Source organism: Homo sapiens, chromosome 2 (assembly GCF_000001405.40).
Source record: "Homo sapiens chromosome 2, GRCh38.p14 Primary Assembly".
In the NCBI taxonomy this organism is placed as follows: Eukaryota; Metazoa; Chordata; class Mammalia; order Primates; family Hominidae; genus Homo; species Homo sapiens.
Genome location: NC_000002.12, coordinates 219,538,954 through 219,553,878, shown reverse-complemented (window position 1 = coordinate 219,553,878; position 14,925 = coordinate 219,538,954). Strand labels below are relative to the sequence as shown.

The 14,925-nt window shown below is 59.3% G+C and overlaps 3 protein-coding genes and 1 non-coding gene across 15 annotated transcripts in view, besides 7 other annotated features; 3 read left to right on the top strand and 1 right to left on the bottom strand.

Moving 5' to 3' along the window:
* OBSL1 (obscurin like cytoskeletal adaptor 1) overlaps positions 1-6,673 on the top strand; it is a 24,334-nt gene extending 17,661 nt beyond the window's left edge. For 4 of the 8 annotated variants that reach the window (XM_017003700.2, XM_017003699.2, XM_017003698.2 and 1 more), the window contains 6 exons: positions 193-305; positions 855-1,011; positions 1,182-1,343; positions 1,663-1,767; positions 2,081-2,350; positions 4,358-6,673. In XM_017003700.2, coding sequence (XP_016859189.1) covers positions 193-305; positions 855-1,011; positions 1,182-1,343; positions 1,663-1,767; positions 2,081-2,350; positions 4,358-4,431 — 881 coding nt within the window. In that variant the 3' untranslated portion in view covers positions 4,432-6,673. Of the gene's footprint in view, positions 1-192; positions 306-854; positions 1,012-1,181; positions 1,344-1,662; positions 1,768-2,080; positions 2,351-2,593; positions 3,152-4,357 lie in introns of those variants that run through there. The other 4 variants (NM_015311.3, XM_017003697.3, XM_017003696.3 and 1 more) reach the window with 4 other exon arrangements.
* Positions 244-744: an enhancer, noted in NCBI's record as "H3K4me1 hESC enhancer chr2:220417857-220418357 (GRCh37/hg19 assembly coordinates)". NCBI's record gives its function as "activates a minimal SCP1, AML or CMV promoter by ChIP-STARR-seq in naive H9 embryonic stem cells {active_cell/tissue: H9 hESC(naive)}" and the evidence as "EXISTENCE:reporter gene assay evidence [ECO:0000049][PMID:30033119]".
* Positions 745-1,245: an enhancer, noted in NCBI's record as "H3K4me1 hESC enhancer chr2:220417356-220417856 (GRCh37/hg19 assembly coordinates)". NCBI's record gives its function as "activates a minimal SCP1, AML or CMV promoter by ChIP-STARR-seq in naive H9 embryonic stem cells {active_cell/tissue: H9 hESC(naive)}" and the evidence as "EXISTENCE:reporter gene assay evidence [ECO:0000049][PMID:30033119]".
* Positions 1,034-1,123: a silencer, noted in NCBI's record as "silent region_12362". NCBI's record gives its function as "represses an Ori minimal core promoter by ATAC-STARR-seq in GM12878 lymphoblastoid cells {active_cell/tissue: GM12878}" and the evidence as "EXISTENCE:reporter gene assay evidence [ECO:0000049][PMID:35858748]".
* Positions 1,344-1,503: a silencer, noted in NCBI's record as "silent region_12361". NCBI's record gives its function as "represses an Ori minimal core promoter by ATAC-STARR-seq in GM12878 lymphoblastoid cells {active_cell/tissue: GM12878}" and the evidence as "EXISTENCE:reporter gene assay evidence [ECO:0000049][PMID:35858748]".
* On the bottom strand, positions 3,284-10,216 carry TMEM198 (transmembrane protein 198). Of its 3 annotated transcripts, NM_001303098.2 has the most exons (6): positions 9,868-10,216; positions 9,502-9,733; positions 8,986-9,155; positions 5,798-6,373; positions 4,525-4,727; positions 3,284-4,162 (listed from the first exon to the last, which is right to left on the bottom strand). In NM_001303098.2, exons 3-6 carry the CDS (start codon positions 9,149-9,151, stop codon positions 4,025-4,027), a joined length of 1,083 nt encoding a protein of 360 aa, NP_001290027.1. In that variant the 5' UTR covers positions 9,152-9,155; positions 9,502-9,733; positions 9,868-10,216; the 3' UTR covers positions 3,284-4,024. The 3 variants fall into 3 exon arrangements, with proteins under 3 accessions (NP_001290027.1, NP_001005209.1, XP_016858856.1); NM_001005209.3 differs by lacking the exon at positions 9,868-10,216 and having other exon boundaries at positions 8,986-9,190; positions 9,502-9,851; XM_017003367.3 differs by lacking the exon at positions 9,868-10,216 and having other exon boundaries at positions 9,502-9,851.
* Positions 4,732-4,806, top strand: MIR3132 (microRNA 3132). The gene has a single exon (NR_036082.1). It is a non-coding gene; the product is annotated as a microRNA 3132 (primary transcript).
* Positions 9,649-9,788: a silencer, noted in NCBI's record as "silent region_12360". NCBI's record gives its function as "represses an Ori minimal core promoter by ATAC-STARR-seq in GM12878 lymphoblastoid cells {active_cell/tissue: GM12878}" and the evidence as "EXISTENCE:reporter gene assay evidence [ECO:0000049][PMID:35858748]".
* Positions 9,829-10,538: a silencer, noted in NCBI's record as "silent region_12359". NCBI's record gives its function as "represses an Ori minimal core promoter by ATAC-STARR-seq in GM12878 lymphoblastoid cells {active_cell/tissue: GM12878}" and the evidence as "EXISTENCE:reporter gene assay evidence [ECO:0000049][PMID:35858748]".
* On the top strand, positions 10,070-14,925 carry CHPF (chondroitin polymerizing factor). 3 transcript variants are annotated; one of them, NM_024536.6, is made up of 4 exons: positions 10,070-10,654; positions 11,690-12,263; positions 12,754-12,933; positions 13,237-14,925. In NM_024536.6, the coding sequence occupies exons 1-4, from the start codon at positions 10,341-10,343 to the stop codon at positions 14,494-14,496; spliced, it is 2,328 nt and encodes a 775-aa protein (NP_078812.3). In that variant the 5' UTR covers positions 10,070-10,340; the 3' UTR covers positions 14,497-14,925. The 3 variants fall into 3 exon arrangements, with proteins under 3 accessions (NP_078812.3, NP_001182660.2, XP_011510140.1); NM_001195731.2 differs by lacking the exon at positions 10,070-10,654 and adding an exon at positions 10,782-10,966; XM_011511838.4 differs by lacking the exon at positions 10,070-10,654 and having other exon boundaries at positions 11,690-12,344.
* Positions 10,549-10,638: a silencer, noted in NCBI's record as "silent region_12358". NCBI's record gives its function as "represses an Ori minimal core promoter by ATAC-STARR-seq in GM12878 lymphoblastoid cells {active_cell/tissue: GM12878}" and the evidence as "EXISTENCE:reporter gene assay evidence [ECO:0000049][PMID:35858748]".

Here is a 14,925-nt window from a genome sequence, read left to right as displayed (position 1 = left end):
TGTGGCCCTGCCCACCTACATCCCCCCCACCCCCACCACTGACAGATCCTTCTTGGACCACTTGTCCCAGCTCGAACCCCACTCGCTAGTGTCCTCTACTGCCTGTTGTGCCCAAGTGTATGTCCTCCTTGTCCCTGCAAGATGGGTCCCCATCCTGCTCCCTCTGCACTGTCCTCCCTCTCCCACCCCCAGAGGTCCCAGTGACCATCGTGCGGGGGCCACACGACCTAGAGGTGACCGAGGGCGACACAGCTACGTTCGAGTGCGAGCTTTCCCAAGCTTTGGCTGATGTTACCTGGGAGAAGGTCAGATCCCAGCCCCAGCCAAGCCCACTTCAGTGTAACACCAACGATAATAATGCCCCAGACAGAAACAGCTAATATTCCTTGAGCGGATGTGCCTGGCACTGTGCTAAGATTTGCATTATATTTAATCCCTTACTCCAAGGACAACTCTAGGAGGTAGGTCTTGTCACTGTAATACCTATCAGGAAACTGATGCTCAGTGGGAAAAATTACCTACCCAAGGGCAGACAACAGGTAGAGCCCATATTCGAATCCAGGTTTGCCTAACTCCAGAATCCGTGCCCATGTCCCCTGTGATCGATACCTGGCTCTGGGCTTCCCGAGTGCCTTGGCGGCCCTAAGGTCCCCAAAGGGTGACGCTTTTTCAAAGAGGCTCCTGGCACGACCCCAAAGGCTTGGGGACAGTCCGACCCCAGCCTGGGAACACGAGACACGCATAAACGCGCCTCGAGACCGCTTGGCATCAACAAAGGGTGCGCCGCCTGCCAGGGCCGGGGTCGCCTGTGCCCAGCCGGGCTCGCCCCGACCCTCTGCAACTCCCGCCCCTAGGACGGGAACGCGCTTACGCCTAGCCCGCGGCTCCGGCTCCAGGCCCTCGGCACGCGCCGCCTTCTCCAGCTGCGACGCTGCGGCCCCTCGGACGCCGGGACCTACAGCTGCGCGGTGGGGACGGCCCGCGCCGGACCGGTCCGCCTGACCGTGCGCGGTGGGTACGGGGTGATGTGGAGGCTGGGCACTGCTTTGGGCGCGAGACTTGCGGAGCTGTCTTCCCCGGACCCTGATGACCGCGCGTGCTTCTAGAAAGGGGGCGTGGAGGGGGCGTGACCGGTAACTGCCCTCTGCCCCGCCCCGCTCACGCCCCGGGCTCCGCCCCAGAGCGTACTGTGGCGGTACTCTCCGAGCTGCGGTCGGTGAGCGCCCGCGAAGGCGACGGCGCTACGTTCGAGTGCACCGTGTCGGAGGTCGAGACCACGGGGCGCTGGGAGCTCGGAGGCCGCCCGCTGAGACCCGGAGCCCGCGTCCGCATCCGACAGGAAGGTCTGCCCGCCTGGTTACCCTTTCGGGCCCCTCGCTGCCCCGCCCAGGCTCGAACAGATCCCGCCCCACCGGGACAAGCCCCGCCCCTGGCTCCGACGGGCCCCGCCCCACGGCCCTGTGAGCCTCGTCCCTGTTCTTTCCCCCGCCCCCAGCCCCTAGTCCCGGACCTCTAGGCTTCCCGCTCCGCATCCCTGTTCCGCCCACCCTAGCATACACTAACGGCGTCCGAACCGACCCAGGGGCCTGCTGGGCCCCCACCTTCGTCCCCAACGCTCCTCAGAGGTGGCTCCGGCCTCGCTAGCGACCCCCTCACCCCCAGGGAAGAAACACATTCTGGTGCTTAGCGAGCTGCGCGCCGAGGACGCCGGTGAAGTCCGCTTCCAGGCGGGGCCCGCCCAGTCCCTGGCTCTACTGGAAGTGGAGGGTAAGCACCTGGGGTGGGAGCGACAGAGAGTGTACATCCTGTCTCTCCTGCCATGGGACTGACGGACTTGGGGCTGGCCCCAAGAACGCTGCCTCTCTCTTCCCTTCCCCCCGAGGGGCTCTCCTGGGCCGGGTCACAGAGGGCAGCGCGTTTCCCCGGCAAGAGGAGACTTTGGGTCTGAGGTGCAAGGGAACGGACTGGTGGCATAGAGGGCTAAGGCCAGGAGTGGAGACTTCAGGGAGGGAAGATGCATCTCTCCTCCTGGGGGCCATGCGTGTCCCTATTAACTTAAGCCCCCGCCCCCTACCCCCAGCATTGCCTCTCCAGATGTGCCGCCACCCCCCTCGCGAGAAGACCGTTCTGGTGGGCCGCCGGGCGGTGCTGGAGGTGACTGTGTCCCGCTCGGGGGGCCACGTGTGCTGGCTGCGGGAGGGGGCCGAGCTGTGCCCGGGAGATAAGTATGAGATGCGCAGCCACGGCCCCACCCACAGCCTGGTCATCCATGACGTTCGACCTGAGGACCAAGGCACTTACTGCTGCCAGGCCGGCCAGGACAGCACCCACACACGGCTGCTGGTAGAGGGTGAGTAAAGCCAACTGGGCAGCGGCAGGAGGGTGAGGGCGCCTGGGAGCTGATGGGTTAAGCCACACCTATGGGAGGCTTTCCAGAACTTGGGGTGGCAACGGGTCCTGGGATACGTAGGAGGTGGGGATGGGGGAGGGGAGGGGTAGAGCACACCCAGGGCTGGAAAGCCCTGGAACTGCTTGGCTCAGATCAGCTGCTCCTGGTCAGCTGTTCCCACCTTTCTACGCCCCTTCTTGCCAGGCTTCTCCTCTCTCCTGCCACTGGACCATGTTTGTCTCTCTTGAACAGCCCTGTTTCTACCAGTTCCTTTCCTCCCCACTTCACCAACACTGCCTTCCTCCAGCCTGTCCCTCCTCCTTCCTGCCCTCTGCCCAGCTTGCCTCTGCCCATCTCAGCAAGTTCCATGTCAGCCTTGGCAGAAGCCTCTTTCTTTCCTCTTCCCCATAAGAGACATCCCACCTTCTATCCCAAATCCCAGCATTCCCTTCAGGTGCCGCGCTGTGCCCCACCCCTAGCTGACCCCCACCTTCCTGCCGCCAAGACAGCCCTAACCAAGGCCCAGAAAGGGTAGGGCAGAACCTGGGGGCCCAGCTCTTTGTGTACTGGTGTCCAGGCTCTGCCAGGGGAGAGGAAGGTGGTACCCCCTTCTCTCCCCAGCCCCATGTGGAGTCATTCCTCTGCAGGCAACTAGGAGAACCTAACCAGGCCAGGCGGGTGCCCTTGGACAGCTTGGAAGGCGTTTGCCCTTACCCTGGGCAGGGGTAGAGAGACAAGGAACAATAAAAGTGCTACAGCTCATTTCCTTGCCTCTCTGAGTGATGTGGGGGGGCAGACCTTGCCTGGAGCCCCTGTGCAGTGAGCGACACTGGGGACCGAGGGCTGTAGTGCTTGTACCTGGCCCATGAAAGTGCCAGCCACCAAAGACCACCATTCCTGGCAGAGGCCACACAGTTTGGCACATTTATAAAAGATGTAAAACAGAGTGGGGTGGGGGAGACAGAAGCATGAGGTGTCTAGGTTGGCATGACAGACACCAGACATGCACCGTGCATTTAAACCCCTCCCCAACTCCCTTCCCAACCCAGCCCAGAGCAGCACCCCCCCACCCCCATCTCCTGCCACTGCCCTCAGGCTGGTGGCTTTACAGAGGCCAGGGGACCAGGGTGAGGGATGCTACAGTTTGCCCCATAGACAAGGACAAGAACCCTTAGATGAGTCTGGCTGCGAGGCAGGGCGATGGGAAGGAAGGTAGCCCCTCCGCGGAGACATGCAGGAGGTGGCCCATGGGACCTTGGCAGGGAGTGAAGAGGTGGGGCTGAGCCTGGAGAAACCCTACCAGTCAGAAATCTAAGGCAAGGGTCCCAGCGTCCCCTCCAAGCCTGCCCACCCCCACACACATACACACAGACACACGGGCAACACACTCACAACCCTGAGCACACCCCAATGGGGTTCACACCCCGAGTTCCTCAGGAGCCTCTTGGGAGCTTGGGAGGGGGCTTTCCTCTCAGGCCAAGACTCGCCTGAGACAATCCTCCCTTCTAGTGACCAGGCCAGCCCTCTCCAGGCTGGGGAGAGGGACAGCCAAAGCCAGGAGGCTGAGTGGCAGCCTAGCAGGCCTCCTCGAGCTGGCAGAGCTGGTGACTGCAGAGTCTAGACAGACAGATATGGCTATACCCGCACTGGGGGGCCTGAGCAGGCTGTCAGAGGTCCCCGGGACCCATACTCATAGTCCGCATCTGTGGGTGAGGCCATGAAGGAGCTCAGGGAGCTCCCGGTCTGCCGGTCTCGGAAGCTCTGGATATAGCTCTGTGGGGGAGCAAACATAGGTGTGAGTCCCACCGCAGAATCCTGCCCTAAAAGCCACCTCTTCCTGAATTCCCACAAGCCTGACACTTCTATAGACTGCCATAGACCCAGAGTCCACAGCCCTGAGACCCCACCACATACCATATCCCACTTAAAACCCATACTCAGGAACCTTTCCCCCAATTCCCCCACCAGCTGGACCCGCCAAGCCCCTGGTGCATGGGCTCCGATGCATGGACAAACAGTTCATGGACAAACAGGCCTTCTAGATAGCAACCAGCCCGTGGGGAAAGCCCAGTCCTGTTTGGAAAGAGTTTCCACACTTCCTTCTCATTCTGGCTGGATGGGCTCAGGGAGCTCACCGGGGAGAGGACGTCTCCATTGAAGCGTTTGATGGGCACTGGCCTGCGCCGATAAGCAGGGTCTGGTGGCCCAGGCCTGGGAGGAGCCCGGGGACCTCTGAGGGGAGCCCGAGGAGGTCTCTTTTTCCGCCTTTTCTCCTTGCGATCTTCCTGCTGCCGAATCCGCATCAGTTGCACGCGTCGGCGCTGCCGGCTGATGACCACTGTGGTGGGATGGGTAGAGAAGGAGCTCAGAGGACGGTGCGCCTTGTTTCCCTTGAGCCCTCCCTCTCTCATCCCACCTGTGGCTCTAGGCTTCCAGATTCCTCTTGTCCATAACCCCTTACTCCCACCCTGTCACTTCCTTTCCTGGTCTCCTACCTCTCAGAGGAGACTTCCCGCTGTTGTTCTTTTCTTCCATAGGTCTTTATGGAAGGTTGCTAGGCTTCCAGGTACCCCCTTCCAGGCTGTCATCCCTCTCCCAATCACCTAGGCCAGCCATCATCATCTTTCCACTGGACAATCACAGCTGCTTCTTCACTGGTTTCCCCCTACACTTGCTCCCTCCAATGCTTTCTACACTCGGCAGCAGAATGAGCATCCCAAAAGCTAAATTAGATTCTATCCTCCCCTACTTTAAACTCTCCAGTGGTTTAAAGTCTTATTGCCCTTCTAATAAAATGTGGAGTGCTTCTTATGACCCAGAGGGTCCACGCAATCACTCTGGCTCCCACACCTCACCTCCCATACTCCTGCCCCACTTCCTCAAGCAAGCTGAGCTCATTCCTTCTCAGGGCCCTCGCCCTTGCTGTTCCCTCTTCTCTAGCTCTTTGCATGGCTGGCCCCTTAGCCTTCAAGTGCCTGCTTACATATCACCTCCTTCAAGCAGCCTTCCCTGACCACCCTAACTCTAATAGCTTCCATAGGTCATTCTTTCACATTATCCTGCACAATGTCTCTGTCATATCACTCTACACAACTGGAATCATGTTTGTTTGCATCTCTGTTATCTGTCTCCTGCCTGCCTTGAATCCATAAGGACAGGAACCTTGTCTGTGTTATCTCTGCTGTATCCCTGGTGCCTGGAATGGGGTTGGTGCGGAGCCAGCACTCCATATGTTGTTGTGGAATGAATGATGGCACCTGGGTGCTATCCTCCCAGACCCTGAGCAAGTCAGCTCTCTACCGCCATCGAGGCCTTCTGCTGCTGTCCCCCACTCCCCAGTCACTTGGCCCCCAACCCATCCCTGGCCACCCACTCCTCTCATGTCCACCTTGGCCTGTGCCCCCTTACCTTCCGTGTGGGAGTCCCCCTCAGCTGTCACCCTCCACTGCACCAGAACGCCCATCAGGCTGAGCAGGGGCCAGAGTGCCAGCAGGGCCCAGCTTCGCCAGCAGAGTGGGGGCACAGGAGCAGCCCGGAGTCGCTCCACCACGTAGCGCCCCAGCAGTAGCAGCTCGGCGAAGTAGTCAGCGGCAGTGGCGATCAGCGCAGCACCAGTCACGGCGGTGGCCAGGGTGGTGAGTGGGCGGGGCCAGCGCAGAGTGAGCAGGGCACAGAGCAGGCCGCCCCCCAGCAACAGCCCCAGTGGACCCCACACGGAGCCTGGCTGGTAGTAGGGTGCGGAGCCCAGCAGGGCAGCAGCTGCGAGCAGCAGGCCGAGCAGCAGCCCCACCAGGAAGAGGCCCACGCTGCGCACTAGCATGGCCACCAGCCCGCAGAGCAGCCCGATGCCCAGAGCGATGCCCGCGCTCGCCCCAGCACTCAGCTGTGTCTCTAGCACCCGCTCTCGGTAGCAGAGGAGGAAGATGACCACCGAGCCAAACAGCAACCCAGTGAGAAAGAGCACTGCCTTGAAGCAGCGGTAACCTGGAGGGGAACAGGGGCTAGTGAGGGGCCAAGATGAGGGCACCAGGCTGGAGGGAGCAGGTCCAAGGGGTCAAGGACATGGGATCCCAGGGGAACCAGAGACAAAGACACTAAGATCAGAGAATTGAGGGTCACTGGAGTCATGACGGCATCAGTGATGGGGCCATTGAGGTCAGGGGAGGTTAGAGAGATATGGCTGTTGGTGGTCAATGGGAAGGCAAACATAACCATTGAGATCATGAGGGTTGATGTATTTGAGGATCACAGGAGTTAGGATAAATCTTTTGAGTCAAGAGTGAATTCGTGCATTGGTGTCTTTGGGATCATAGGAGTCAGAGAGAGAAGTCACTGGGGTCCCAAGGGGATCAGAAAAAGAGTCATTGGGGTCTTTGAGAAGGGATTGCTCACAGAGATGAGGTATTTGGAAATCATAATAAACTCGAGGGCCGGGCGTGGTGGCAGCACTATGGGAGGCCAAGGCGGGTGAATCATGAGGTCAGGAGTTTGAGACCAGCCTGACCAACGCGGTGAAACCCCGTCTCTACTAAAAATACGAAAAATTAGCCGGGCATGGTGGCACGCACCTGTAATCCCAGCTACTCAGGAGGCTGAGGCAGGAGAATCGCTTGAACCCAGGAGGCAGAGGTTGCAGTGCACCAAGATCGCACCATTGCATTCCAGCCTGGGTGACAGAGCGAGACTCTTGTCTCAAAAAAAAAAAAAAAAAGAAACTTGAGAGGTGAGGGTCACACAGGTTCAGAAAGATGAGTCTTTGGGGGTCACAGGGCTTCAGAGATAATGGCACCACTGAAAGGTTACAAAGAGGACAGAGTAGCAGCATTACTGGGGAGTTGTCCCAGAAAATGAGGTATTTGTAGGTTAGGGAGATTGACAGAAATAGAATCATCGAGAGTATAAAACGATTTCCAAGAGAGAGGAACACTGAGACCAAAACAAGGAATTACTGGGATCACAGTATGGGGAGGGGTGATCAGATAATGAGGTTATGGGAATTAGAGAGGAGTAACCAGGGATCAAGACTAGGAGTAATAGAGGGGGTCAGAGGGATGGAAGGTAATGACATAACTGGAGGTGAGAGGAGGTGGAGGTCACTAAGGCTTACATGAGGTCACACAGAATCAAAGAGAAGGAAACAGTGTTTGTGGAGTTTCAGAAATAAGGAGGTTATAGGGCCATTAGGCCCATTAGAGATACTTGAAAGGGTGAGGGAAGTGGAGATTCTGAATAGTTGGAAAGATGGAAATCAGAGATGGGGGTCAAGGAGTCAGAGAGAGCCAAAAAGAAAGATAACAGAGGAGAGTCACTTCCAGGAGTGGGGGGAAGTATGAGAGTCCAGGAGGCTCGTGATCAGAGAGAGGAGTAGGGCGTGGACAAGGGCTCAGAGTCCATGAGCCTGGGCGTAGTGACATCCAAGAGGGGTAGGATGTCAGGAAGCCCAGGAGAGGGAATATGAGGCTGCATTGAGCAACATGCAGAGGGAGTGGGTACAGATATGGAGGGGGTGAGGTGATACAGAATCCTTGGAGGCCCAGAACGTGTCCTGAACCCTTGCGGGGGGCACTTCCTCCTGCCTACTCTTCAGTTGTTCAGCCCAGAGTTTGGGGGAGGAATGGGAGGGACCATCTGGCTCCCAACCCTGTCTACCCACCCATTGCAGGGGGAGGCTGCAGAACACAAGTCTTGCACTACCTCTGCTCAACCTGGAACCCCAGCCCCCAAGACTCATTTGCCCCCACTGGTCCCACTCACCTACAATTCTCCTGGAGGCTTTCTTTGGGCCCCCAGCCCATAGAGCTCACTCTCCTCTCTGAAGTTCTGTAACTCTTGCTGCAAAGCCACTGGTCACTTACTCCCATTATACTGGGCCACTAGCCCATCTGGCACCTTTATGCATATTAGAAAAAGGTGTGCCTTTCTCTAGGCAAAGCAGCTTTGTGCCAAGGCCCAGAGTTTGTCAGAGCATGAGCTGGACTTTAGCCCCCACTTGCCCACTCAGCTGAGCTCCCTTATTTAGTACCCGTCCTGTACAAGTATTCACAGCAGCTCTGATTACCGGAGCCTGCCTTGTAGGCTGGATGGATGTGTGTGACCACCATCCAGCCCACTCTAATATGTATCCCAGGTGTAAATGCTCCAGGGAGTCTCCTCCCTGTCAGACAATATGCCCTGTGGTAAGGGACCATGTGTAATAACCCTGCTAAGTGTTTTCAGTGGCTACCTAGCACAGTTAGCCAAACACATCCTCACAATAGCTACAATTTATTGAATGCTTACTAATTCTTACAACACTACATGAGACAAATATTGTGATCATTGTTCAGATGAGAAAACTGAGGCTCAGACAGATTAATGTGCCCAAGACATCACAATTAGTAACTGCAAAGCTAAGTAAATTCACACTCAGGTGTGCCTAATCCAAAAACCTGTTTTTCCTATAATCTAGAGTCTAGACAATCTATAAATGTGTGGGATGAAAGAAAAGGAAGAATTATTCATGATGGTAGAGGGATTCAGAGAAGACTTGGGGGCCCAGAAAAAGAACTCGGGGAAACACTGGGGAGCCCAGGTGAGGGATGAGATGGGGATCTCACCGAAGAAGCAGTAGACGACTCCAAACAAACAGCACATGATGCAGACGAGGGCCGGCAGTGCCTGGTACCTGCGCTCCAGGGGCTGTTCACAAGGTGCACCCCAGAAGGCATCATCTGGCTCAGGGGGCAGCAGCTGGAACCGCAGTGTTGCCACAGTCCCCGGCATAGTGCTGGGAATAGAAGGGAGTCACCCTCCCAAGTTAACCTGACAGAGGGAAAGTTGGGGTCACGGAGGAGTCCTGGGTCCCCACCAGGATGGGGGTGGGAGAGGGATTGGGAGAACTCAGCAAGGACAGTGGACAAAGGAATAGTATCCACATTTGTGCAGCTCCGGAAGCATCTCTGGAGTGGGGAGCAAAGACAAAGGGAAACAAAAGTGCCTGGCTAGTGGAGGCTGGGATGAAGTTAAAAGAGGGACGGGAGTCGGGGGGATGAAGGGAGCGTGCTGCCAGTGAGAAGGAGGCAGCCAAGAGATTCATCTGTGGGCGGCTCAATATGGGATTGTCCAAGATTTACCTGGGCTGGAGGCGACCTGAGCTTCTGAGTGAAAGAGGCTGTGCAGAGGCCCGAGGGGCCGGGGTTGCGGGGCGCCAGAGGCTCCAACTGACTGGGGTCCAGGGAAAGTCCGTCGTGCGAGGAAGGGGGCTGCTGGGCCGGAGAGAATGGTGTCGGCGCGGTGGCGGCGCCGCTCCACGTCCAACACCGGCTGGCACTCCAGTCCCGCGGCGTCCGGGAACTCGGGCTGGGCCTGAGGAAGGGGAAGGCGCAGGAGCCGGGGCTCGGGCCGCCCCAGAACCGCGGCCCCATGCCCTGAGCCCGCCCGCGGCCTTTGGTGCTGATGGACAGCTCCGGCCTCTGCTCCTGACGTCACTCAGGGCGCACCATCCAGGCAGGGGCGGGCTGCTTCTGACGTCACATGGGACGCACCAACCACGCCGCGGGAGGCAGGGGACTCCGCCCCCGGCGTCTCCCTCTCCCGCACTGAGGAGGGGGCACTTCCGGGGGTCCTTCCCCTTTAACCTCCCCCTTCTCCTCCCTCTCCGGTAGCGAGAGCCCGAGACCCCACCCCGGGGGCGGGGCCCTTGCAGTGACACGTCGGACAGCTGCGGCCGCGGCTGAGGCTCCAGTGCCGAGCGCAAGAACCCTGCGCAGCCCAGAGCAGCTGCTGGAGGGGAATCGAGGCGCGGCTCCGGGGATTCGGCTCGGGCCGCTGGCTCTGCTCTGCGGGGAGGGAGCGGGCCCGCCCGCGGGGCCCGAGCCCTCCGGATCCGCCCCCTCCCCGGTCCCGCCCCCTCGGAGACTCCTCTGGCTGCTCTGGGGGTTCGCCGGGGCCGGGGACCCGCGGTCCGGGCGCCATGCGGGCATCGCTGCTGCTGTCGGTGCTGCGGCCCGCAGGGCCCGTGGCCGTGGGCATCTCCCTGGGCTTCACCCTGAGCCTGCTCAGCGTCACCTGGGTGGAGGAGCCGTGCGGCCCAGGCCCGCCCCAACCTGGAGACTCTGAGCTGCCGCCGCGCGGCAACACCAACGCGGCGCGCCGGCCCAACTCGGTGCAGCCCGGAGCGGAGCGCGAGAAGCCCGGGGCCGGCGAAGGCGCCGGGGAGAATTGGGAGCCGCGCGTCTTGCCCTACCACCCTGCACAGCCCGGCCAGGCCGCCAAAAAGGCCGTCAGGTAGTGATCGGCTGCGCCCGCTCTACCCCCTGGGCAGCGGCCGGGAAGCGCGCGGGGAGGTCGCCCGGGCCCGGGTCAGGCTCCGGAAGGAAGGGGCTGGCGAGCCAGGAAGTCTTTGGGCCCCGATAACTTCCGATGGCCCTGCCTTCCCGAGAGCCGTGGGGCCAGTCCGAGACTTTCTCTGGGCCCTATCCCGGCCTGGGCTGAACTTACTGGACTGTGTCCTAAACCGGCTCGACCCGATGGCGCCCCAGAGATCCTACTAGCTCCCTGGCTGGGCTGCTGGTGTTAGAGAAATGACTTATATATAGGGTGAGTGTATAGAGACAGGGGAAGAGAAAGGAGAGAACTAGGATTTACCTGGATCTCTTGTTCCTGAGTGGGTTACAAGGGCCACCTCAGGGTGAGATGGGGGAGGGAGGAATGTACCTATCTCATTAATGTCTCTGCTGATGAGTTGAAATAACTTCTAAGTAACATTGGGTTCAAATGCTGGTTCTGCAATTTACCTTCTGCCTTACCAAAAGGTAAGTTCCTAGAGCCCCTGAGTGCAGTTTGCCCCTCCCCGCAAAAACACTCAGTACACCCCTATGCCAAACGTTCCTTTATGTCATTTATGTGAGGCATTTGTGGCATAATGGCATATTTATATAGAAATGAGTAGATACATGGTGTGTCCAGCGTTTGGCTGGGTGCTTTAAACAGATATAATCAGTCCCATTTTACAGATGGCTCAGGTTAAATAACATGCTCAAGGACATAACTACTAAGTAGCGAACCCCGGAGTCAGACCCACAATATCTCTCTCCTATCTGGGTGGGTATTGCCATCTCCCAAATGCAAAGCACTACCTGTTTAAGACCATTTCGTTTAAATCCTCATGACCCCTGGGAGAGAGGGTTTATTTTTAACCTATTCATAGGTGAGAGAACAGATACAGAGAAGACGTGACCTGCCAGGGTCTGTGCTGACCACCTCCCCCCCACCCCCCGCCCCGTTGTCCTTTTGATAAGCTTGTGCCATCTCCTCCCCTAGGACCCGCTACATCAGCACGGAGCTGGGCATCAGGCAGAGGCTGCTGGTGGCGGTGCTGACCTCTCAGACCACGCTGCCCACGCTGGGCGTGGCCGTGAACCGCACGCTGGGGCACCGGCTGGAGCGTGTGGTGTTCCTGACGGGCGCACGGGGCCGCCGGGCCCCACCTGGCATGGCAGTGGTGACGCTAGGCGAGGAGCGACCCATTGGACACCTGCACCTGGCGCTGCGCCACCTGCTGGAGCAGCACGGCGACGACTTTGACTGGTTCTTCCTGGTGCCTGACACCACCTACACCGAGGCGCACGGCCTGGCACGCCTAACTGGCCACCTCAGCCTGGCCTCCGCCGCCCACCTGTACCTGGGCCGGCCCCAGGACTTCATCGGCGGAGAGCCCACCCCCGGCCGCTACTGCCACGGAGGCTTTGGGGTGCTGCTGTCGCGCATGCTGCTGCAACAACTGCGCCCCCACCTGGAAGGCTGCCGCAACGACATCGTCAGTGCGCGCCCTGACGAGTGGCTGGGTCGCTGCATTCTCGATGCCACCGGGGTGGGCTGCACTGGTGACCACGAGGTGGGATGATAAGCTATCCCACTGATACCTCCTTGTCATGTTCAAATCCCTCTGAGAGGCAAAGGGATGTTGGAGATACAGGTCTGCTTTTCCATGCCAATTCGGACATTTATTTTCTATCTCTGTGACCCCCAGTAAATTACTAAATATCCTGGGCTTCAGTATCTTCCTTTGTGCCAATGGAAATAATTATTGCTCGGGGTTGTTACAAGGATTAGAAAAAATCAGGGAGCCTTGTACATAATAGGCATTTGATGTTAGTTATTATTTTAGCCCTTGGACAGCTCTGAGACAGGACGCATGCCCATTTCGCAGATGAGCTAGCGGAGGCATGCTGAAGGTCACACAGACTCACAACTGGTCAAGGTAGACTTAAACCCTCAGACTGCAAGTCCACAACAGGTCATAGGCTGAGGAGATGAGACACTTACTATGAGACAACGGAAGACAATGCCAGCTCATCACAGATCCCTTCCCTTCCTCTCCCCAGGGGGTGCACTATAGCCATCTGGAGCTGAGCCCTGGGGAGCCAGTGCAGGAGGGGGACCCTCATTTCCGAAGTGCCCTGACAGCCCACCCTGTGCGTGACCCTGTGCACATGTACCAGCTGCACAAAGCTTTCGCCCGAGCTGAACTGGAACGCACGTACCAGGAGATCCAGGAGTTACAGGTATGGTCTAGGTCTGGGGGTGGCAGAGTGACGGGGACAGGATCTGAGAAGTCACAGAGAGCCCAGAGAAATGACAAGTTAGCACTAGAATCACAGAACAAAACTACTTCCCAGCCCCTGCCTGTTTCTACATTCTCTGATGAGCCTCTTGGCTGTCTATGCTGGGGAAATGATAGGTATGGGCAGAGGTTGGCAGGGGATGAGGGGCCCATCCTGAGTGGCACCTACTGCCTACCCAGTCCCCCAGCTGTGTGCTGCTCCCTGTAATCTGTCCCTTGCTGATGGCCTGTTTCTCTGATCCAGTGGGAGATCCAGAATACCAGCCATCTGGCCGTTGATGGGGACCAGGCAGCTGCTTGGCCCGTGGGTATTCCAGCACCATCCCGCCCGGCCTCCCGCTTTGAGGTGCTGCGCTGGGACTACTTCACGGAGCAGCACGCTTTCTCCTGCGCCGATGGCTCACCCCGCTGCCCACTGCGTGGGGCTGACCGGGCTGATGTGGCCGATGTTCTGGGGACAGCTCTAGAGGAGCTGAACCGCCGCTACCACCCGGCCTTGCGGCTCCAGAAGCAGCAGCTGGTGAATGGCTACCGACGCTTTGATCCGGCCCGGGGTATGGAATACACGCTGGACTTGCAGCTGGAGGCACTGACCCCCCAGGGAGGCCGCCGGCCCCTCACTCGCCGAGTGCAGCTGCTCCGGCCGCTGAGCCGCGTGGAGATCTTGCCTGTGCCCTATGTCACTGAGGCCTCACGTCTCACTGTGCTGCTGCCTCTAGCTGCGGCTGAGCGTGACCTGGCCCCTGGCTTCTTGGAGGCCTTTGCCACTGCAGCACTGGAGCCTGGTGATGCTGCGGCAGCCCTGACCCTGCTGCTACTGTATGAGCCGCGCCAGGCCCAGCGCGTGGCCCATGCAGATGTCTTCGCACCTGTCAAGGCCCACGTGGCAGAGCTGGAGCGGCGTTTCCCCGGTGCCCGGGTGCCATGGCTCAGTGTGCAGACAGCCGCACCCTCACCACTGCGCCTCATGGATCTACTCTCCAAGAAGCACCCGCTGGACACACTGTTCCTGCTGGCCGGGCCAGACACGGTGCTCACGCCTGACTTCCTGAACCGCTGCCGCATGCATGCCATCTCCGGCTGGCAGGCCTTCTTTCCCATGCATTTCCAAGCCTTCCACCCAGCTGTGGCCCCACCACAAGGGCCTGGGCCCCCAGAGCTGGGCCGTGACACTGGCCGCTTTGATCGCCAGGCAGCCAGCGAGGCCTGCTTCTACAACTCCGACTATGTGGCAGCCCGTGGGCGCCTGGCGGCAGCCTCAGAACAAGAAGAGGAGCTGCTGGAGAGCCTGGATGTGTACGAGCTGTTCCTCCACTTCTCCAGTCTGCATGTGCTGCGGGCGGTGGAGCCGGCGCTGCTGCAGCGCTACCGGGCCCAGACGTGCAGCGCGAGGCTCAGTGAGGACCTGTACCACCGCTGCCTCCAGAGCGTGCTTGAGGGCCTCGGCTCCCGAACCCAGCTGGCCATGCTACTCTTTGAACAGGAGCAGGGCAACAGCACCTGACCCCACCCTGTCCCCGTGGGCCGTGGCATGGCCACACCCCACCCCACTTCTCCCCCAAAACCAGAGCCACCTGCCAGCCTCGCTGGGCAGGGCTGGCCGTAGCCAGACCCCAAGCTGGCCCACTGGTCCCCTCTCTGGCTCTGTGGGTCCCTGGGCTCTGGACAAGCACTGGGGGACGTGCCCCCAGAGCCACCCACTTCTCATCCCAAACCCAGTTTCCCTGCCCCCTGACGCTGCTGATTCGGGCTGTGGCCTCCACGTATTTATGCAGTACAGTCTGCCTGACGCCAGCCCTGCCTCTGGGCCCTGGGGGCTGGGCTGTAGAAGAGTTGTTGGGGAAGGAGGGAGCTGAGGAGGGGGCATCTCCCAACTTCTCCCTTTTGGACCCTGCCGAAGCTCCCTGCCTTTAATAAACTGGCCAAGTGTGGA